The 24,113-nt window shown below is 34.9% G+C and overlaps 1 annotated feature.

Moving 5' to 3' along the window:
* Window positions 23,397–23,597: a silencer, noted in NCBI's record as "fragment chr4:74664101-74664301 (GRCh37/hg19 assembly coordinates)". NCBI's record gives its function as "represses an EF-1alpha promoter that drives an FKBP-Casp9 reporter gene in an ReSE screen in HepG2 liver carcinoma cells and K562 erythroleukemia cells {active_cell/tissue: HepG2 | K562}" and the evidence as "EXISTENCE:reporter gene assay evidence [ECO:0000049][PMID:32094911]".

A 24,113-nucleotide genomic window follows, 5' to 3' on the forward strand; every position in this document is an offset into this window, starting at 1 on the left:
TTATTGTAACTCTATGAGGTAATTACTATTATTTTTTATGTTAGATAAACATGCTGAAGTGAAGAGAACTTATATAATGTACTCATTATTATATGGCTAGGAAGCTACAGAGCTGGGATTCAAACCTAGAAAGTGTCAGTCTGGTACAAAGTCTGATTTTTCCTGTCAAACATTATTCTACCTTGCCTTTCTATGAGATAAATAAGTAAAAAGATACATGAAAGTATATTGAAATAAGAGAACATGTATATAATATTGAGCAGTAAGGCTTGACACTCCGGATAGATGTAAAATAAATTGTAAAACATTTCTATTGAGATTCAGTGGAATTCAAAGTGTCATCTAAACAGTCTAACATTCATCTTAACACAGTGAAAATTTCATTCATCTGCAGTAGGTATTTAGAATATATAAGTATTTGGAATATACAGGTATCTAAAATATGACCGCTACTCATCAGTTAAAGAATCCCAGACTCCAATAGAAAAATGGACAAGAATATGAATAGGCAATTCACAGAAACTTAATAGATACTTAGTTTCATTAGTTATCAAAAAAAATCAAACTTAAACCACTATGAGATAGCATTGCATATCCATCAGATGGTCAACAACTGGTAAATCTGGTAACACTGAATTTTGGTGAGGATATGGGAAAATGGAAATTCAGACATGGCTGGGGTAAATATAAATGCACATAACTTTGGAAATTGGCAATATCTAGTGAAAGCTGAAGATATGCAGAACTTACCCCAGCATTATCCCTTCTGCGTCTGCACTAGAGAAATCTTCAACCATGTACATAAGAAATTGCTATAAGGATGCTTGTGAAGCAGTGTTGGTAATAGCAAAAACTATTGAACCTCAGGAGTAAAATTCATAAACAGTGCAATGATAGAGTTAAAATGAAACTACTCAATCTAACTGGTTAAACAAGGGTAAACCTTTAAACATACTTCTGAGTAAAAAAGAATACAAAATGCTACATCCAGTACAATGTCATTCACGTAGATGTTAAGCACTAAATACTATATAGAGAAACATGAATCTATGGTAAAAGTTCAGAACACTAAAGAGAATGATACTATCATCACAGGATTTGAATAGTGAAGAGAGAAAACTGGCGAATGGGACTTTAGAGTCTATGTATTTTTTAATTAAAAAAGATTGGAATCAATTATAATCAAATATTAATAGAGCTAATCTCAGAGGTGGGTAGATAGGTAATGGTTATATGCACATATATTTTACTTTTTTGAATAAAATGCTTTATAATTGAGGTCTAAAAGGGTAATATGTGTGGAATTTTTTTTTTGGCAGGGGAAAATAAGGGGATTTAAATCATTTCTTCATCAAAAATCCCTTTGAACTTTTATTTGCCAAACTTCCTTCTTCCTTGTTATGAAGATTAGTAACTCCAAACCATATTCACTTCTGCGGTTTCATTCTGAAAAAAGAAAATTTGGCTGGTTTAGATAAAGCATTCCATTAACCTACATTCTGAACTAGATGTTCTAAAAGGAAGTTATTATTTTCTCTGGCAGAGATGAAGGGAAAAGCCAAAACATTTTGATGTTGACACAGCTTTTGGAGAAGTGCCAAAAAGGTCACTGAGTCTGTGATCCTTCATGGTGTCCGCAATGTGGGCCTTGCAATGATCCCAGTCCTGCTTACCACAGGGTGCAGGTGTCTTTGGAGCTGAGTAGAAACATTCTGAAAACATGCATGTTGCTGTCCCTGGATAAATGCTTAATACTTAATGCACTGCTTTTCCTTGGTCTCAAAATTGTTCTTAAACTTACTTTGTGTGGCTATCTCAATGTTTATAAGCCAAAGAAAGCCAGCTACCTATTGCTTACTGATGGTACACTGCATGTTAATTTATTATTTTTGGCTTACCTAATACATTTATATTTTATAAAATGGATATTTTTTGAAGGTATAATTGTGTCAAAGTGTGCACTTTTGGGTGGAGAAGCAAAAGCTTTGTCTCCATATATAAAGATGATGGATCCTATCTTACATACTTATCTTCAATACCTTTACTGTCACTGAATAAATGTTCCTTAGCACTTACCATGGCAGTTTTATTAAACACAAAAATGTATGATCTTTTTCAGAGGTTAAAAAAAGTATAATCTGTATTATTTGAAACATTAGTAAACCAAAGAAATGCTTACTGAAAATTATGGTTCAATGCCTAAAATGTCTATTTAATTTGTTTTACATAAAGCCTCCAGAAGGTGGATACAGTTGATTTTAAGTTAATTAATCTCATAAATCATTGTAAAATAAACAAAAGATTATAAATACAGTAATTTTGATAATCTGCTTTAAGTTACTAGAGAAATATTAAAAGCATGCACTTTTGCTTTTTGATATACTTAATTTGAAGTAAATAATGCATGTTGAGCCAAAACAAATACAACTTTACCTCTGAATCGTATTTTAAGATTAAGGGGAAAAAGCCATAAAATAATTAACATATTTTCATTTCTCTATATTTTAAATTGATAAAATTTTATTTCAATAATGATGAAAAGTCACTAAGTACATTTTAGTCTTTTTTTAAATTTAATACTTATAAACTGTATCATGTACTTTGAAAACAGGTGAAAATCACTTAAAATTATTTTATTTAAATTGTATTTTCCAGAAGAGTAGGTTGTGGGTTAGTCGTCTTTGCAATTTGTCATGCAATTTGCTGGGATGTCAGCTTCAGCTGGGCTCGTTGTCATCTTGGCCTGAAAAACAGCAAATGATGAAGCAAAGTGTGAGAAATTGTCTCATATTTTATGGCTCACTGAGTGAATGAATCAACTCAGGATGCTGCAGCATTGCCTGCAGGAGTCTGTGTCTGTGAAACTGCTGAAATTCCAAACGGAGTAGCTGATGGACTCTGGGCAGTATTCATGGTCCAAAAGGGTGTTGGCTTTCCTCCCCAGATTTAAGAACTGTAATTTTGAAATGAAGATGACATGTCATTTTCCATTTGTGACAAATCCTAGGAGCTGCTATACTGGTATTCTATCTGAATAAGGATATAAAAAAGATCCAAGTATACCTTCTACAAAGTAAAAACATATCCTTTTGAAGTGTCATGTTTGATGAGTTTTGATAAAGATATCAACTCATGTAGCCACTGCCACAACCAAGATATAGAATATTTACATTATGCTCCCAAAGTTCCCTCTTGCCCATTTTTAGTCGGTCACTCTGCCCCCTACCAGTCCCAGATAACCACTGATCCAATTTTATCACTATAGAATTTTATAGAAATAGAATAATGCACTAGGCACTCTCATTGTCTGACTTTCACTCAGCATAATATTTGTGAAATTTATTCATGTTTTTGCAGGAGCTCATTCCTTTTAGTCTCTGAGTAGTATTTCATACTATGGGGTTATACCACAATCTTTCCTACTTTCATTGTCCTTAGTTTTTTATTTTGTTACTGAAGTTGCTATGAATATTTATGTCCAATACTTTTTTGGACATATATGCTTTTATTTATCTTGGATTAAATACCTAGAATTGATATTACTGGGTCATGAACCTGTATAGATAATTTTAAAAGAAACTGACAAAGTGAGTTAAGAAATTGAGAAGGAAACTAAAGTTTTTTTGAAACACATGAAAATGGAAATGCAATTTATCAAAACCTATGGAATACATTTAAAAAGTACTAAACTTAGTGAAATTAGCACTTTTTTTTTTTTTTTTTTTGAGACAGAATCTCTCTCTGTCGCCCAGGCTGGAGTGCAATGGCTCAATCTCGGCTCACTACAACCTTTGCCTTCTGGGTTCAAGGGATTCTCACGTCTCAGCCTCCCAAGTAATTGGGATTACAGGCACCTGCCACCACGCCCAACTAATTTGATTTTTTTTTTTTTTTTTTTTTGTATTTAGTAGAGACAGGGTTTCACCATGTTGGTCAGGCTGGTCTCTAACTCCTGACCTCAGGTGACCCACCCACCTCACCCTCCCAAAATGGTGGGATTACAGGTGTGAACCACTGTGCCCAGCCAAATTAGCACATTTTATATACTGTGTTGAAATTCACAGGAAAGCTTGTCTTCTGTAAATGACTTTTGAATACAGATTTGTTCAGACATCTCTAACATTACACATACTGTACTGGTCCACTGGATTGAAGGCAGAGAGAAGGAAGGGAGGAGAGAATGGTTCAAGGCCAAAATGGTCATATTTAGAAGATACCTCAGATTATAACCATTATTATATATGTGCAATTTTAACATAGCAGAAAAGTTATATGAAATTTCCAGTCTTTCTACATATTTAGAAGTGCTTGATGCATTTAAACGTAGAAGTAGTAGAATAACACTTCTTATAAATAGCTATTAAAAACTGATGGGAGGCCGGGCATGGTGGCTCATGCCTGTAATCCCAGCACTTTGGGAGGCCAAGGTGGGCGGATCACCTGAGGTCAGGCGGTTGAGAGTTTGAGACCAGCCTGATCAACATGGAGAAACCCTGTCTCTACTAAAAATACAAAATTAGCCCAGTGTGGTAGCGCATGCCTGTAATCCCAGCTACTCGGGAGGCTTAGGCAAGAGAATCTCTTGAACCCGGGAAGTGGAGGTTGCAGTGAGCCAAGATCGCGTCATTATACTCCAGCCTAGGCAACAAGAGTGAAATTCCATCAAAAAAAAAAAAAAAAACCAAAAAACTGACGAGAAATACTGTGCTTGGAAGTAGAATTGTTAATCCACCTCTGAACAGTGAACAGTGTACTTTCTATACTTGTTCATTGGGTTGAGGGAGATGGGAGGGAAGAAATTGCAAAAGGCATTTTGCTAGTGTGTACTAGAAAATGTCAGCTTATCCATTGTCCTTTATACCCAAATGCCCTTGACAGTGCATTTTATTTAACTTAACTATACTGTATATACTGTATATATTGGACAAATGAATCCTAATTTTATAATATCTAGTCACTAGATATTAGAGATTGTCAATGTATGACAAAAGGAGAGTTAGTAAACTAACACATTTTGTACATTTTATGTTAAGATGTATACAAAGATTGTATTTTGAAAAAGACTTCAGGAAGTGAAATGATAGCATCAGCTTTGACACATGTGCCCATATTTACCAGGTTGTTCGTAGAGAGGAGTTGAAAGAAATAAAGGATTCTAGACCAGAACGTTCCTATTTAGAAAACACTTTCAGATATAACAGTTGTTACATGTGTGTAGTTTATTCAACAATACTGTGTATATAGTAAACAAACTTAAGTCTTTATTTGAAACAGCTAGTCTTTCTAGATATTTAGAAGTACATAAATATGTTAAAAGTAGAGGTAGTAAATTTCCACATTTTATAGATAGCCTTTTGATATAAAATATTGTCCCTTGGAAAGTGATCAAACCACTCCTCTGAGCAGTACACATTATTTGTGCTGGTACAGGGAGGAAGGAGGAGAAGAAAGTGCAAAGGCCTTTACACCAGTGTGTTTATGGTGAGGCACAATTGACCACTGTTCCTTGTATCTACATTTTCTTTTACTTTGCTGTGTATATAGTATATATAAATGGGCAAACGTATCCTAATTTACAACATCTAGTCTTTCTAAATGTTAAAGAGTTTGACAGTGTATGACAAAAGCAGAGGTTAGTAAACTAATAAATTGAGAACATTTTGTTTTAAAATTCATAAGAAAGACTATTCTTAAAAACACTTAAAGAAGTGAAATTGTTAAATCTTGTCTAAGCATTACAAATGCTTATACCTGTCAACTGTGTTGATAGAGGTAGGAAGGGGAAGGGTTCTAGGCCAGAATGTTCTTATTTAGAAGACACTTTCAAATATAACCTGTGTTATGTGCACCACTTATTTAATGCTACTGTGTCTATGGTGGAAAACTTAAGTCCTATTTGAAATATCTAGTCTTTTCACATGCTTAAAATTGCACAACATAGTTTAAAACTAGAGGGCTAAAGTAACACCCTGAGGTAGTTTTTTGGTTAATTCCTAGGAGTGGTTGTGCTTGGGAATGCAATTGTTAAGCTTGATGTTTGGAGAGTATGCTGACTGTTTATTGGGTGGCAGCAAGTCAGGGGAGGAGAAAGTATGCATGCAGAAGTGTTCCGTGCCTGTAAGTTTGATTAGGTCGGATGTTCTAACCATTGTTGTATATGTGCCTTTTAGTTAGTACTGTTATGTATTAAAGGATAAATAAGTCCTAATCCCCAAAGTATGTTAAAAGTAGAGGTAGTAAAACAGTTCCTACATAAATGTCTTCTCACTGGTTTTTGGGAAGGCCTGTCTTCTGGGAGTGACTTTTGTTAATCCAACTCTTGGAACTAGATGTAGTCCTATATTTAGTCACTGGGATAGTGGAAAAGGGAAAAGAGGAAAAGTGAAGGGAAGGGCTGTTTGTTAGTATCTCTACATACAGAAGAGGGTTTTAGATGATGTATTAGTCGGTTCTCATGCTGCTAATAAAACCATACCGACGACTGTGTAATTTATAAAGGAAAGAGGTTTAATTGACTCACAGTTCAGCATGGCTGGGAATGCTTCAGGAAATTTACAATCATGGTGGAAGGTGAAGGGGAAGCAAGGCACTTACTTCACAGGGCAGCAGCAAGAAGTTTAAGGAGGGGGAATGCCAGACAATTATAAAACCATCAGATCTTGTGAGACTCATTCATTATCAGGAGAACAGCATGGGGGAAACAGCTCCCATGATTCAATTACCCCCACCTGGTCCTGCACTTGACATGTGGAGATTATGGGGATTACAATTCAAGGTAAGATTTTGGTGGGGCACAGAGCCAAACCATATCAGATAATAACCGTAGATCTATATGAGCATTGTTAGTAAAGCACCTAAGTGTATTGTGAACAAATTTAATTATTTTGCAACATCTAAGCTTTATAAATGTCTTGGGGTAACAATGTATGATAAAAAAGTAGAGCTAGTGAATTAACCAATTTGTAAATTTTTTTTGTTATAATTGATAGAAAAGATACGTGTTGGACATAGAATTATTAAACTGCCTCTGAGTAGTGTGTGTAAGGATTTGTTCATTAGGTTGGCATCAGAAGGGCAGAAGCAAATACAAAGGGAAAGATGTATGCAGATGTTTTCATATTTACATTTTGACAATAGCCATTGAGGTATGTGCATCTCTTGTGGTTGTACCATAGGAATACATTAATTAATTCAGTGGAAACATACATTCTTATTAATATTTTAATGGTATAGATCTGCTAATGAATTCTCTTAGAAACATACTTAGTATATTCTGTTGCATTATGTTTCATTTTAAATTGAGCATTAAGAGAATACAGTATTTTAATTTGAACTCTTTCAACGCTTTTATCTATAAGCATGTTGTCATTTTTGTCTTCTATGAAATTTTTACCCCAAGAAAGGCAGAATTATGTTTTTGTTTTCTTTTTTCCGACAGATTAAGTTGGTGTGATGTATTTTATTTTTGTTTGTTTGAGTTGGAGTCTCGCTCTGTCGCCCAGGCTGAAGCGCAGTGGCACAATCTCGGCTCACTGCGGCCTCTGCCTCCTGGATTCAAGCAATTCTCCTGCCTCAGTCTCCCAAGTAGCTGGGATTACAGGTGCCCAAAACCACACCAGGCTAATTTTGTATATTTAGGAGAGACGGGGTTTCTCCATGTTTACCAGGCTGCTCTCAAACTCCTGAGCTCAGGTGATCTGCCCAGCCTCCCAAAGTGCTGGGATTACAGGCGTGAGCCACTGAGCCTGGCAATGGTGTGGTGTATTCTTGATTATCAAAATACTCCTATAGCTTTGGGACTTTTTATTGGTAAATATTCATGATATTCATTGTAAGTATTTAGTATATATCGTGAAAAACCATGATACATACCGTACAATCTCAATCCCATAAAATCGGATGTTGTGTCTATACACACACAGGACCCAGAAGGACATATCAAGCTGTAAACTGCTTGTGATTGTGGATGGCTTTGTTCTTTGCTTCTTGTGTTTTTTAGTTTCCTATTATGCACATGTTAACTTTTAAAAAATAAAGATTATTTTTAAAGCCTGGGGAAAAAACTAGTGCTAAGAGGGAAGTTTATAGGAACAAACGCGTTCATCAGAAAAATAGAAAAATTTTGAATAAGCAACCTCATGAATGCACCTCAAGGAATTAGAAAAGCAAGAACAAACCAAACTAAAAATTATTAGCAGAGAAGGAATAATAAAAATCCAAACAGAAATAAATAAAATTGAAACTAAAATAATAGAAAAGGTCAACATAATAAAAAGTTCATTTTTTAAAAAGAAAAATCAACAAATCTTTAGCTAGACTACAAAAGACAAAAGAAGATACAAATAAATAAAATCAGAGATGATATGACTGAAATACAGAGGATCCTTAGTGACAATTGTGAACAACTATATGCCAACAAATTGAAAGAGCTAAATAAAATGGATACATTCCTGGGCACATAAAACCTACAAAGACTGAATAATGAAGAAATAAAAAATCTGAAAACACTAATAATCAGAAACAAGATTGAATCGGTACTAAAAATAATTTCCAACCAAGAAAAGTCCAGGACTGAAAGACTTCACTGCTAAACTTTATTAAACTTTTAAAGAAGAATTAATACTAATTCTTCTCAAACTCTTCTAAAAAACTGAAGGGAAGAGAATTCTTCCACACTTATTAGATGAAACCAGCATTATTCTGTTACAAACACTAGGCAAGAAGGCAACACAAAATAAAATTATATGCCTATATTTTTTATGAACACAGATGCAAAAATTCTCAACATAACACTAGCAAACCAACTCCACAGCACGTCAAGAAGATTATATGCCATGATCAAGTGGGATTGATTCCAGGGATACAAAGGTGATTCAACATATGCAAATCAATAAACATGATACATCACATCAACAGAATCAAGGACAAAAATCATATGGTCATTAATAGATGCAGAAAGAGCATTTGATGGAATTCAACATCTCTTCATAATAAAAACTCTCAACAATTAGGTACAGAAGGAATATACCTCAAAATATGTATTCTTTTGGCCATATGTGACAAACCCAGAGCTACCATACGGAATAAGAAAAAGTTGAAAGCCTTTACTCTAAGACAAGAATGCCCACTTTCACTACTTTTATTCACCAACATAGTACCAAAAGTCCTAACCAGAACAGTTAGTCAAGAGAAAGAAATAAAGAGCATCCAAACTGGAAAGGAAGAAGTCAAATTGTCCTTATTTGGAAATGTTATAATCTTATATTTAGAAAATTCTAAAGATGTTGCCAAGAAAATAGAACTGAAATAAATTCAATAAAGTTTCAAGTGACAAAATCAACATACAAAACTTAGTAGTATTTCTATACATTAATAGCAAACATTCTGAAAAAGAAATCAAGAAAACAATCCTATTTGCAATAGTTATAAAAAGCCCTAAGAATAAACTTAACCAAAAGAGATAAAAGATATCTACAGTAAAACACTGATGGAAGAAATTTAAGAGGACATGAATTGGAAGAATTAATATTGTTAAAATGTCTATACTTTCCAAAACAATCTACAGATTAAATGTAATCTCTACCAAAATAACATGGCAATCTTCCCCCAAAAAATAGAAAAAAAATCCTAAAATTCATATGAAACTGAAAAGACCCCTAATAGCCAAAGCAATCTTGAATAAAAAGAACAAAGCTGGAGGCATCACATTACCTGACTTGAAAATATAATACAAAGCTGTAGTAACCAAAGCAGCACGATACTGTCCTAAAAATAGACACATAAGGTCAATAGAGGACCCAGAAATCAGAGAACAGAATAGAGGAGCCAGAAATAAATCCACACATTTGTAGCCAACTAATTTTTGACAAAGGCACCAATAACATACATTGGAAAAAGGACGGTCTCTTCAATAAATGGTGCTGGGAAAACAATGTCTATATGAACACAGAAGAATGAATCTAAACCCCAATCTTTCACCATATATAAAAATCAGATCAAAATGGATTAAAACTTTAATGTAGTGCCCAGAACTATAAAACTACTAAAAGAAAATGAAGGGTAAACTCTTTAGAACATTGGTCTGGGCAAATATTTTTGGGTAAGATCTGAAAAATATAGATAGCAGAAGGAAAAATAGACAAATGAAATACATCAAACTGAAAAGCTTCTACACTGTAAAGGAAGCTCTGTTGATTGCAACAGAGCATAGTGACAGCCTTCAGAGTGGGAGAAAATATTTGCAAACTATCCATCAGACAAGGGATTAATATCTAGAAAATATGAGAAACTCAAACAACTCAATAGCGAAAACCAAATAATCTGATTAAAAAATGAACAAATGGGCTGGGCGCGGTGGCTCACGCCTGTAATCCCAGCACTTTGGGAGGCCGAGGCAGGCGGATCACGAGGTCAGAAGTTCAAGACCATCCTGGCTAACACAGTGAAACCCTGTCTCTACTAAAAATGCCAAAAAATTAGCTGGGCTTGGTGGCAGGTGCCTGTAGTCCCAGCTACTTGGGAGGCTGAGGCAGGAGAATGGTGTGAACCCAGGAGGCAGAGCTTGCAGTGAGCCGAGATCGCGCCACTGCACTCCAGCCTGGGAGACAGAGCGTGACTGCGTCTCAAAAAAAAAAAAAAAAAAAGAGCAAATGACCTGAGTTGCCATTTATCAAAAGAAGACATACAAATTGCCAAAAGCATATGAAAAAAATATTCAACATGACTAATTATGAGAAAAATGAAAATCAAAACCACAAGGTATCATCTTACCCCAGTTAAAATGGCTACTATAAAAAAGACCAAAGAAAAAAAAATACTGGTGAGGTTGGGTTGCAAAGAAAGGGGAACCCTTATACGCCCGTTGGTGGGAATGTAAATAAGTATAGCCATTATAGAAAACAGAATGGAGGTTCCTCAAAAACTAAGAAGTAGAAATGTTATATGATCCAGTAATCTCACTACTGGGTATGTATCCAAAGGAAAGAAAATCAGTGCGTCAAAGAGATATTTGCACTCCCATGTTTATTGCAACACTATTCACAATAGCCAAGATATGGAATCAACCTTAGTTTTGACCAATAGATGCATAGTTAAATAAAACGTAATATATATACACAATGGAATATTTTTCAGCATTGAAAATAATAGAATCCTTTAACTTGTGGCAACATAAGTGAGCCTGGAAAAAAGTATGTTAATTTAAATAAGCCAGACACAGTAAATCAAATACCACATATTCTCACTTATATGTGGAAGCTAAGAAAATTGATATCGTAGAAGTGGAGAGCAGAATAGTGGTTACCAGAGGCAGGGAAGAAGAATAGGGGAGGCAAAGATAGGGAGGGATTGGTTAATGGGTACAAAATTACAGTTAGATAGAAATAAGTTACAGTGTTCTGTAGCACAGTAAGGAGGCTAGGGTTAATAATAATTTTTTGTACATTTCAAAATAACTAGAAGAGAAAATTTTGAATAGTCCCAACATGAAAAAAGATAAATGTTTGAGATAATGGATATCCCAATTACCGTGATTTGATTATTACACACTGTATGTATGTATCAAAATATCACATGTATCTTATAAATATGTACAATTATTATGTATCAACTAAAAATTTAAAATACAAAAAAAGGACAAACTTTTCTGAAACATTTGTAAAATTTTACCCTCCCCCAATGATGAATGAGCATTCTATTGTTCTACATCCTCTCCAATGCTTGGTATTGTCCATATTTTAAATTTAGCTATTGTCCTGTGGTATCTCACTGAAGTTTCCATTTGCAGTTCCCTTAGAACTAAAGATGTTCAGCATATTTCCATGTACTGTTTGGCGATTTATTTTTTTCTTCAATAAAGAAAGCTGCTCAAAACTTTCCCCCATTTTTCAATTGATTTGCCTTCTAATTTATTGAGCTATATGAATTATCAAATATATTCATTATGAATTTTCTCAGAGAAATGTATTGCACATATTTTCTCCCAGTCTGTGGCTTGGTTTTTCATTTTCTTAACAGTATTGTTTGAAAAGTAGCAGATTTCAATTTTGATGAAATACAAATTTTCAATTTTTTAATTTATAGTTGGTGCTTCTACTATCTTATCTAAATATAACCTTTACCTATCCAAGTCACAACAATTTTTCTTCTCTATTTTCTTTTAGAATTTTGAGAATTTTAATTTTTATATTTAGGTGTATGATGCATTTTAAGTTAATTTTGTGGTTGGTATGAAGCAAAGATCAAGGTTCACTTTATTCCATGTGGATATTTGGTGGCTTCAGCACCATCTATGGAAAGGCTGTCTTTTTCACATAGAACTATTTTTGCACCTTCGTAAAAAGATCAATTGGCTATTTATGTCTGTACTAAAGGTTACTGGTTAAGAACTCAGCCACTGGAATTTGATTATCTGAGTTTAAATCCTGTTTCAACCATTTATAGGATGGCGACCCAACCTCAGTTTACTCATTTTGTTCCATGAAGAAATAAGCGGGGAGAGCTAATGTTCAAAGGCCCTCAGTAATATGACTACCCTAAATCTACAAATCTAGGTTTGTGGAAGAGCTGGGATTTGACCCCAAGTCATTTGACTTTCTGTTTATAACTAATTGGACTTTAGTACACTGCATTTTTTAAATGATTCTTTCAAATCCTTTTCACAACTTTGGAAAAATGCTTATGCTTCCTCAAGTTGACTTTTCATACACTTACACGTGAGAAAAGCAAGCTATTTACCTCTTCATGGGAATAAAATCTTACTCTTTGTAATTTCTGCAGAAGAATTTTAAGCCCAAAATATTCACTTGGGATTTCCAGAATATAATCCTTATTTTTGATTACTCATTTCATGTATCTCTTCTGTTTTTATTTGTGTGTGTGTGTGTTATCATTGTCTAGTAGCTTAAGATAACAAGCTCCAAGTAGATTCGGATATGCAAGTGTTCCAAACAGATAAATAAAATTGATTAATAATTGATACAAGTAGCTATTGTTACTTTTGAAGTAGTATGGCCTTTAAAATTCTTTGGATAAAGATAACTCATCTCTAACTCCAGGATTGTGAGCTTCTAAATAAAAGCTAAAAGCTTGGAGTGTCAAATAATCCCAGAGAATTTCATGGAAAAAAAGGAGGATGAGGAGGAGGAGGAGAAGGAGGAGGAGGAGGAAGGGGAGAAGGAGGAGGAGGAAGAGGAGAAGGAGGAGGAGAAGAAGGATGAGGAGAGGAGAAGGAGGAGGAGGAGGAAAAGGAGGAGGAGGAGGATGAGGAGAAGGAGGAGGATGAGAAAGAGGAGGATGAGGAGGATGAGAAGAAGGAGGATGAGAAGGAGGAGGAAGAAAAGGAGGATGAGGAGAAGGAGGAGGAGGAGAAGGAGGAGGATGAGAAGGAGGAGGATGAGGAGGAGGAGGAGAAGGAGAAGGAGGAGAAAAAGGAGGAGGAGAAGGAGGAGGAGGAGAAGGAGAAGGAGGAGGAAGAGGAGAAGGAGGAGGAAGAGGAGAAGGAGGAGGAGGAGAAGAAGAAGAGACAACAGAGTCAGAGTCCCTTTCACACTAGGATTTCTCTCTTTCATTCTGGAAGTTTTACTTCTAATATTACAAAGGACTTCATTGAAGCCAAGCGGAAAGTTGAACTTGTGACAAGAGTGTGTATGCTGTGAGAATGAAACTGTACTCTAAGCAAACTTGGTTTGGCAAAGTATGTAAGAGGGCACAGCATAACTTTTTTTTTGACATTTGAAGTATCTACTTTTTTCTTTGATAAACGTGGACTCAAAAATTTAAACAAGAGTCCAGTACATTTTGAAAACTTCTCTCTTGCAAAGAAAAAGTGTCATATAGGAGAACTTTGCTTCCCTTAGCACAGCAGAACACAGAACCTCTGTGGCCAATCTAGAGATTTGAGGAGGCAATATGAAAAGGTGGTTATCTAATTCTAAGTGTTTGATTCTGATCCGCCTGAGTTTCCTCTTCTCAGGTCTTTCTCACTGGGGCCCCGATTCATATTGTCATGCTGACTTCATTGGTTCTTGGAGTTCGTTTTAGTTTGGATTCAACGGAAATTAAAACCATAAAACACAAAAAAAATTCAGACGCATGCTACAACATGGATGATCCTTGAGGATCTAATGCTAAATGAAATAAGTCAGTCACAAAAGGACAAATATTGTATGATCTTCTTCATATTAAGTACCTAGTTAGTGAAATTTTTAGCAACAAAAGGTAAAGTGGTTGTTGCCAAAGGCTGGAAGAATAGAGAGCTATTGTTTAATGGGCACAGAGTTTTACTTTGGGAAGATAAAAAGTGCATGGAAAATCCCCTACCTCAGGTGCTTCTTAATGTAATTGAAACATCATGCGATATTTAAAAAAATTATCTAATAAAAAGAAGTGAATAGACATACCCAAGAAATAGTGTTACAGTAACAGCTTAGTTTGCAGTCTTAGAAAACTTTCTCTTTGCTTGAATCTTGTATTTCCTAAAATACGTTCACCTCTAGGCAAAGAGTATCACCTGTCACCTGACATCTGGGAGTTCCTTCTGAAGCACTTCAGCTTCATATAGTTAAAAGCAGAGACACAGTTTCCCAGTCTGTAGCTCGCAAAGTTATCTCTCACTCAGTTTGGGAAATGAGTGGAGACAATGGGTACCAACAGAGATTGTAGCTTTATATGGGCCCACCCCAGACAGCAATTAACCTCCACATAGCCACACATACAGCAACAACATAGTCATGTTAAAAACTTCCAACAATAGGTAGCCAAATCATAGAACTGTCATTTATGAAGCTCCTATTATGTGCCAAGCAGTATACTAGGTTCTTTACATGCTAAATTTTATTTAAGGCAAAAACTACATGATATTTAAAGTAATATTCTTTAAATACCTATGAATGGATTTCACTTCTTTTTTAGAACTCAAAGTTTAAAATTTTTCTTATTGTGGTAAAATATGTATAAAATAAAATTTACCAATCTAACAATTTTCACATATATAGTTCAGCACCATTAAGTACATTCACATTGTTGTATTATTATAACCATCACCGTCACTCACACTCAGAACATTTTTATCTTTCCAAAGTAAAACTTTGCGCCCATTAAACAATAACTCTCCATTCTTCCAGCCTTTGGCAACAACCATTTTACCTTTTGTTTCTAAAATTTTGACTAATTTAGGTACCTAATATGAGGGGGATCATACAATATTTATCTTTTTATGACTGACTTATTTCATTTGGCATAAGGTCCTCAAGGTTTATCCATGTTGTAGCATACATGTGAATTTCCTTGCATTTTATGGTTAAATAATATTTCATTGTATGTATATATTACATTTTGTTTATTTATTCATCTATTCATGGACATTTGTGTTGCTTCCACCTTTTGACTATTATGAATGATGCTGCTATGAACGTGGTTGTGCAGAAGTCAAAGTTTTAATAGTTCAGGAACTGTATTTATTTGAATGCTTGTTTATAGGAGACATAAGACCCAGTGTTTCTTAGACCAGTAGAATGATCATGATTAACATTAATTGATTGTACATTTCAAAATAGCTAGAAGAGAATAATTCAAATATTCCTATTGCAAAGAAAAATAAATGTTTAAAGTGATGGATATTCTAATTACTGAGTTGATTAAATGAATATATCAAATTATCACATGTACAGCAAAAATATGTACAGCTATTATGTATCAATACAATTAATTGATTGATTTTAAAAAATCTGGCAATAAACTTCTTTCACAGATTTTTAGTGATTCCTGCATTTCTTTAAACAGTTAAGTATAAAATTAGTGGTCTCCTTTATAGCTGACACTTAAACCACTTCAATACTTAGAAACAGATAATAGCATTCTTAGGGAAAGCAAAAAGGGAATATCTGTAAATACTTAAATTGAACTTGACATATAATTTATTTTTAATCAAAATATGTTAAAATGTTATTAATGTCATGAAAACACATTATTTAAAAAACTGAGACTAAAGAAGATCTTATAATAAAAGCGTATCACTTCTTTCCACACTCAGTCCCTCAATAACAAGTATTTTTAAATGTTTTAGCTATTTTGTTCTGGTAGAGAATGCCATGTCTCTAAATATTGTGTTTGAACCAAGTTTTTAAAAAATTACTTATACATATGAAATTAACCCCTGCGGAATTTCTCTATAATGACTGATAATCCAGTCCCCTTATACTTGTCTACCACTTCTGTTCTATAATCATAATTAAGTCATCTGGACTTGTTGATATGAAATATTTGTAAATAATTAACCGCATTTACCTAACCTATGAAAATACTGTTTACTGAAGACAGAAGTATTATATGATCATAATATTTCTTCTTTTACAGGTTTTGGCTTACTTAGAGTTTTGATTTAATTTTCCAATTAAAACTATTTTATCCTTCTTTTTTTAATTTAACTATTATATTTTCCCAAAGACCAGTGATCCAGGACCCCTCAACTCAGGTTTTTCTCTGTCTATTTTATTCCCTGGTTGAACTTTTTATTTGCTGGAACATGTGTCTTCCCTCATTATAGGCTTATTTACTTGTTTTGTTGACACATATCTTCAGAGAACTTCCTAAGGAAGATTGTAAAGGAGAATTTTCTGAGCTTTCACATATCTGAAAGTGGTTTTTTCTTCTACCCTAACACATGATTGGTAGTTTTTCTGGATATAGAATTCTAGGTTGAAAATTATATTACTTCAGAGCTTCCTCTGCCTTTTAAGTGTTGCTGATGACAAAGATGATCCCAGTCTGATGATTATTCTTCATAGTGATTTGGTTTTTCCAAAAGGAAACTTTTAACTAGACTTTCTAAATTTTCTAATGATGTACTCAGCTGTGTGGGGGTGTGTGTGTGTGATTTTACAGAACACTTGCAGAACTGCTTCAGATTGAAAATTCAACCTTCAAATCAGGAAAATTCTCTATTATTTCTTTGAGAATGTCTTGCTTTCTATTTTTCTCTATTCTTTTTTCTATAACATATTAGTAATTGGTGTCATTTTCCATGTTTATTTTCATTTTTCTTATATTATCCATCTGTTATACTTATTTCTACTTTCTTAGATATTTGTTTTATGTTTCAAACTTTGTATAAAATTCACTACTTCACTTACCATATTTAAAATTCCTAAGAACTTATTTTTGTCCCCTAATTGATCCTTCCTCACAGCATTCCTTTTTTTATTATAAAATATCTTCCTTAATCTCTTTAAGAATACTAGGTTTTTAAAGTTCTCTTCCTTTTGAAATATGTTATAAGCTTAATTTTAAAACAGTTTTAGGTTTACAGAAAATTGTGAAGATGGTACAGGGTATTTTCATATACCTACCTCTGATTTTCCCCTATTAAAAGAATATTTTACATTGGCAGGGTGTATTTTGTCACAATTAATAGGACAATATTGATAACTATGACTAACTGAAGTCCCTAAATCAATGTACTGGTCATGCATTTTGTAGCATGTATCTCAATTAAGATTTATCTGAGAAATTGCTTTATGAATCTGAGTGCTCCTGTATTGGGTGCATATACATTTAGGATAGTTAGCTTTTCTTGTTGCATTGATCCCTTTACCATTATGTAATGCCCTTCTTTGTCTTTTTTGATCTTTGTTGGTTTAAAGTCTGTTTTATCAGAGACTGGGATTGCAACCCCTGCTTTTTTTTTTTTTTTTTTTTTTGCTTTCCATTTGCTTGGTAAATATTCCTCCATCCCTTTATTTTAAGCCTGTGTGTGTCTTTGCACATGAGATGGGTCTCCTGAACACAGCACACCAATGGGTCTTGATTCTTTAACCAATTTGCCAGTCTGTGTCTCTTAATTGGGGCATTTAACCCATTTAAATTTAAGGTGAATATTGTTATGTATGAATTTGATCCTCTCCTTATGATGCTAGCTGATTATTTTGCCCCTTAGTTGATGCAGTTTCTTCATAATGTTGAATGTCTTTACAATTTGGTATGTTTTTGCAGTGGCTGGTACCGGTTTTCCCTTTCCATATTTAGTGCTTCTTTTAGGAGCTCTTCTAAGGCAGGCTTGGTGGTGATGAAATCTCTCAGCATTTGCTTGTCTGTAAAGGATTTTATTTCTCCTTCACTTATGAAGCTTAGTTTGGCTGGATATGAAATTCTGGGTTGAAAATAATTTTCTTTAAGAATGTTGAGATCTACAAAAAGACTTAGACTTCCACACCATAATAGTGGGAGATTTTAATACCCCATTGTCAGTATTAGACAGACCAGCAAGACAGAAAGTTAACAAGGATATTCAGGACTTGAACTCAGCTCTGGACCAAGCAGACCTAATAGACATCTACAGAACTCTCCACCCCAAATCAACAGAATATACATTCTTCTCAGTGCCACATCGCACTGATTCTAAAATTGACCACATGATTGGAAGCAAAACACTCCTCAGCAAATGCAAAAAAATGAAAATCATAACAAACAACAGTCTCTCAGACCACAGTGCAATCAAATTAGAACTCAGGATTAAGAAACTCACTCAACTACATGGAAACTAAACAACCTGCTCCTGAGTGACTATTGGGTAAATAACGAAATTAAGGCAGAAATAAAGAAGTTATTTGAAACCAATTAGAACAAAGACACAATGTACCAGACTCTCTGGGATACAGCTAAAGTAGTGTTAAGATGGAAATTTATAGCACTAAATGCCCACAAGAGAAAGCAGAAAAGATCTAAAATTGACACCCTAATATCACAAAAGAACTAATGAAGCAAGAGCAAACAAATTCAAAAGCTAGCAGAAGACAAGAAATAACTAAGATCAGAGCAGAACTGAAGGAGATAGAGACACAAAAAACCCTTCAAAAAATCAACGAATCCAAGAGCTGGTTTTTTGAAAAGATTAAAAAAATAGATAGATTGCTATCCAGACTAATAAAGAAGAAAATAGAGAAGAATCAAACAGACAATAAAAAATGATAAAGGGGATATCACCACTGATTCCACAGAAATACAAACTACCATCAGAGCTTACTATAAACACCTCTATGCAAATAGACTAGAAAATCTAGAAGAAATGGATAAATTCCTGGACAATTACACCCTCCGAAGACTAAACCAGGAAGAAGTCAAATCCCTGAATAGACCAATAACAAGTTCTGAAATTGAGGCAGTAATTAATAGCCTACCAACCAAAAAAAGCCCAGAACCAGAAAGATTCACAGCTGAATTCTTCCAAAAGTACAAAGAGGAGCTGGTACCATTCCTTCTGAAACATCCAAACAATAGAAATTGAAGGACTCCTCCCTAACTCATCTTATGAGGCCAGGATCATCCCGATACCAAAACTTGGCAGCGACACAATGACAACAAGAAAAGAAAATTTCAGGCCAACATTCTTGATGAACATTGATGCAAAAATCCTCAATAAAATCCTGGCAAAGTGAATCCAGCAGCACATTAAAAAACTTATCCACCATGATCAAGTCAGCTTCATTCCTGGGATGCAAGGCTGGTTCAACATACTCAAATCAATAAACATAATCCATCACATAAACAGAACCAATGACAAAAACCACATGATTATCTCAATAGATGCAGAAAAGGCCTTAGATAAAATTCTACACCACTACATGCTAAAATCTCTCAATAAACTAGGTATTGATGGAACATATCTCAAAATAATACGAGCTATAGATGACAAACCCACAGCTAATATAATTCTTAATGGGCAAAACCTGTAAGCATTCCCTTTGAAAACCACACAAGACAAGGATGCCCTCTCTTACCATTCCTATTCAACATAGTATTGGAAGTTCTGGCCAGGGCAATCAGGCAAGAGAAAGAAATAAATGGTATTCAAATAGGAAGAGAGGAAGTCAAATTGTCTCTGTTTGCAGATGACATGCTTGTACATTTAGAAAACCCCATCGTCTCTGCCCAAAATCTCCTTAATCTGATAAGCAACTTCAGCAAAGTATCAGGATACAAAATCAATGTGCAAAAATCACAGGCATTCCTACACACCAATAATAGAGAACAAAATCATGAGTGAAGGCCCATTCACAATTGCTAAAAAGAGAATAAAATATCTAAGTATACAACTTACAAGGGTTGTAAAAGACCTCTTCAAAAAGAATTACAAACCACTGCTCAAGGAAATAAGAGAGAAGACAAAAAAATGGAAAAACATTCCATGCTCATGGATGGGAAGAATCAATCTCATGAAAATGGCCATATTGCCCAAAGTAATTTATAGATTCAGTGCTATCCCCATCAAGCTGCCATTGACTTTCTGTACAGAATTAGAAAAAAAAAACTACTTTAAATTTCATATGGAACCAAAAATGCACCGGTATAGCCATGACAATCCTAAGCAAAAAGAACAAAGCTGGAGGCGTCACATTACCTGACTTCAAACTATATTACAAGGCTACAGTAACCAAAACAGCATGGTACTGGTACCAAAACATATATATAGACCAATAGAACAGAACAGAGGCCTCAGAAATAATGCCACACATCTACAACCATCTGATCTTTGACAAACCTGACAAAAACAAGAAATGGGGAAAGGATTCCCTATTTAATAAATGGTGTTGGGACAACAGGCTAGCCATAGGCAGAAAACTGAAACTGGACCCCTTCCTTACACCTTATACAAAAATTAATTCAAGATGGATTAAAGACTTAAATGCAAGACCTAAAACTATAAAAACCCTTGAAGAAAACCTAGGCAATACCATTCAGGACATAGGCGTGGGCAAAAACTTCATGACTAAAACAACAAAAGCAATGGCAACAAAAGCCAAAATTGACAAATGGGATCTAATTAAACTAAAGAGCTTCTGCACAGCAAAAAAAACTATCATCAGAGTGAATGGGCAACCTACAGTATGGGAGAAAAATTTTGCAATTTATCTATCTGATAAAGGGCTAATATCTAGAAGCTACAAAAACTTAAACAAACTTACAAGAAAAAAACAAACAGCCCATCAAAAAGTGAGTGAAGGATATGAACAGACACGTCTCAAAAGAAGACATTTATGCAGCCAACAAACATATGAAAAAAAAAGCTCATTATCAGTGGTCATTAGAGAAATACAAATTAAAACCACAATGAGATACCAACTCATGCCAGTTAGAATGGTGATTATTAAAAAGTCAGGAAACAACGAGTGCTGGATAGGATGTGGAGAAATAGGATTGCTTTTACAATGTTGGTGGAAGTGTAAATTAGTTCAACCATTGCAGAAGACAGTGTGGTGATTCCTCAAGGTCTAGAACCAGAAATACCATTTGACCCAGCAATTCCATTGCTGGGTATATAACCAAAGAATTATAAATCGTTCTACTATAAATACACACGCACCCATATGTTTATTGAAACACTATTCACAATAGCAAAGACTTGGAACCAACAAAAATGCCCATCAATTATAGACTGGATAGAGAAAATGTGGCACATATACACCATGGAATACTATTTAGCCATATAAAGGATGAGTTCATGTCCTTTGCAGGGACATAGACGAAGCTGGAAACCATAATTGTCAGCAAACTAACACAGGAACAGAATACCAAACACCGCATGCTCTCACTCATAAGGGGGAGTTGAACAACGAGAACAAATGGACACAGGGAGGAGAACATCACACACGAGGGCCTGCGAGGGGTTGGGGAGCTAGGGGAGGGCTAGCATTAGGAAAAATACCTAATGTGTATGACGGGTTGATGGGTGCAGCAAACCACCATGGCACGTATATACTTGTGTAACAAACCTGCACGTTCTGCACATGTATCTGAGAACTTAAAGTATAATTCAAAAAACTTGCATAACTTTTTTTTTTTTTTTTTTTTTTTTTGAGACGGAGTCTTGCTCTGTCGCCCAGGCTGGAGTGCAGTGGCGCGATCTTCGCTCACTGCAAGCTCCGCCTCCTGGGTTCAGGCCATTCTCCTACCTCAGCCTCCAGAGTAGCTGGGACTACAGGCGCCCGTCACCAGGCCCAGCTAATTTTTTGTATTTTTAGTAGAAACGGGGTTTCACTGTGTTAGCCAGGATGGTCTCGATCTCCTGACCTCGTGATCCGCCCGCCTCTGCCTCCCAAAGTGCTGGGATTATAGGCGTGAGCCACCGCTCCTGGCAAAACTTGCATAACTTTTATGCAAGTTTTAAAAATACAAAATTTTCTCCCTAAAGTTAAAAAAAAGATTTATCTGATATTTTTCTCATAATTAGGCTAGAATTTTTGGGTTTGGAGAAGAAACCCATAGAGATAAGAAGTCATATACTCGTTACATCACATCAAAGATATTATGTCATCTTTATCATGTCAATATGATTTATTACAATTGACGTTAACCTTGAACACCCACCCAGTGCTGTGGCTCATGGTTCCTGGAACTACAAGGTACTTCTGGCTTATGTAGTATGTTTTATGCTATAGTTTGAGAATCAACCATTTTCTCAAGGATCCCTGGTTCCTATTACTGGGGAGTGGTATTAGAAAACAAGTTCTGGATAGTAAATATATTCATTACTACTGGGGCACTGTTGCTTTTAGATATATTCAGCTGGCAATGCAAGGAAATATATGTGTGAATACTAACCAAAGTTTGTACATATATCTATAAATTATTCTGTATGTAACCACTCACTTGAACAGTGAGAAACCTAGCTCCCACTATCAGCTACCTTTTTACTTAATTGTTCAATTCTATATATAGTGGTTTTAGATTTGTTATCCTGTACCTCCATGGTAATCAACATTACCGACCAGAAAACAATCTTATGTACTGTTTCTTCTGCCTTTACACTATAAAATTCCACGAGTTAGTTTTTACAAATGCATAGTGTCCTGCATATACCAATACAATATCATATAGGATAGTTTTATTACCCTGAAAGATTCCTTGTGTTTCACCTATTCAAACCTCCCACAAAAGTCTTAGCAACCACTAATCACATAATTGAAATAATACAGTATGTAGCCTTTTCAGACTGGTTTCTTTCACTTAGCAATATGCATTTAAAATCCATCTATGTCATTTTATGCCTCAATTGTTCATTTCTTTTTATTGCTGAATACTAATTCATTTTATGAATAAACCAGCTGGTTTATCTATTCACCTATTGAGAGACATCATGTTTTGCTTCCATTTTTGCATTTAAGAATAAAGTATTATAAACATCCTTGTTCAGGTTTTTCTGTAGTTTTCAAATCAGTTTGGTAAATACCTCACAACATGATTGCTGGGTAGTATGATAAGACTATGTTTAACTTTCTAAGAAACTGCTTGAGTGCCTGTACCATTTTTGATTCCCAACCCCAATGAATGAGAGTTCTTTGTTCTTTTTTTTTTTTTTTTTTTTTTTTTTTTTTTGTGAGATGAAGTCTCTCTCTGTTGCCCAGGCTGGAGTGCAGCGGCGTGATCTCGGCTCACTGCAAGCTCCACCTCCTGGGTTCATGTCATTCTCCTGCCTCAGCCTCCCGAGTAGCTGGGACTACAGGCGCCCGCCACCATGCCTGGCTAAATTTTTTTTTGTATTTTTTAGTAGAGACAGGGTTTCACCATGTTAGCCAGGATGGTCTCGATCTCCTGACCTCGTGATCCACCTGCCTCGGCCTCCCAAAATGCTGGGATTACAGGGGTGAGCCACCACGCCCAGCCAAGAGTTCTTATTATTCCATATTCTCATCAGCATTGGGGATTGTCAATGTTTTGGATTTTTGCCATTTAGCCAGAGGTCCAAAAAATGATAATCCTAATAGATAGGTAGTGATATAGCATTATTGTTTTAATTTTTAATTACTTAATGAAAAATTATGTTAAGCATCTTTTCATATGCTTATTCTCCATTTGCATATTTCCTAGAGTGTCTATTCAGATTTTTAGCCCACTTCTTATTAATTTTTTACTAGTAAGTTTTAAGAGTTCTTGTATATTTTGGATACAAGTCTTTTATAAGATATATAACCTTGGTTGCTTTTTAACTCAAATTCAACAATGATACACTGGGCAACTGCAATTAAAACTTCAGGGTACAAGTTACTTAGACTACAGAGATGATCTATTGTTCTTTTTCAAAAGGAGCTTATAATAAAATGAGGCATAAGACAAATAAAATA

This window comes from Homo sapiens, chromosome 4, assembly GCF_000001405.40.
Source record: "Homo sapiens chromosome 4, GRCh38.p14 Primary Assembly".
Taxonomy (NCBI): Eukaryota; Metazoa; Chordata; class Mammalia; order Primates; family Hominidae; genus Homo; species Homo sapiens.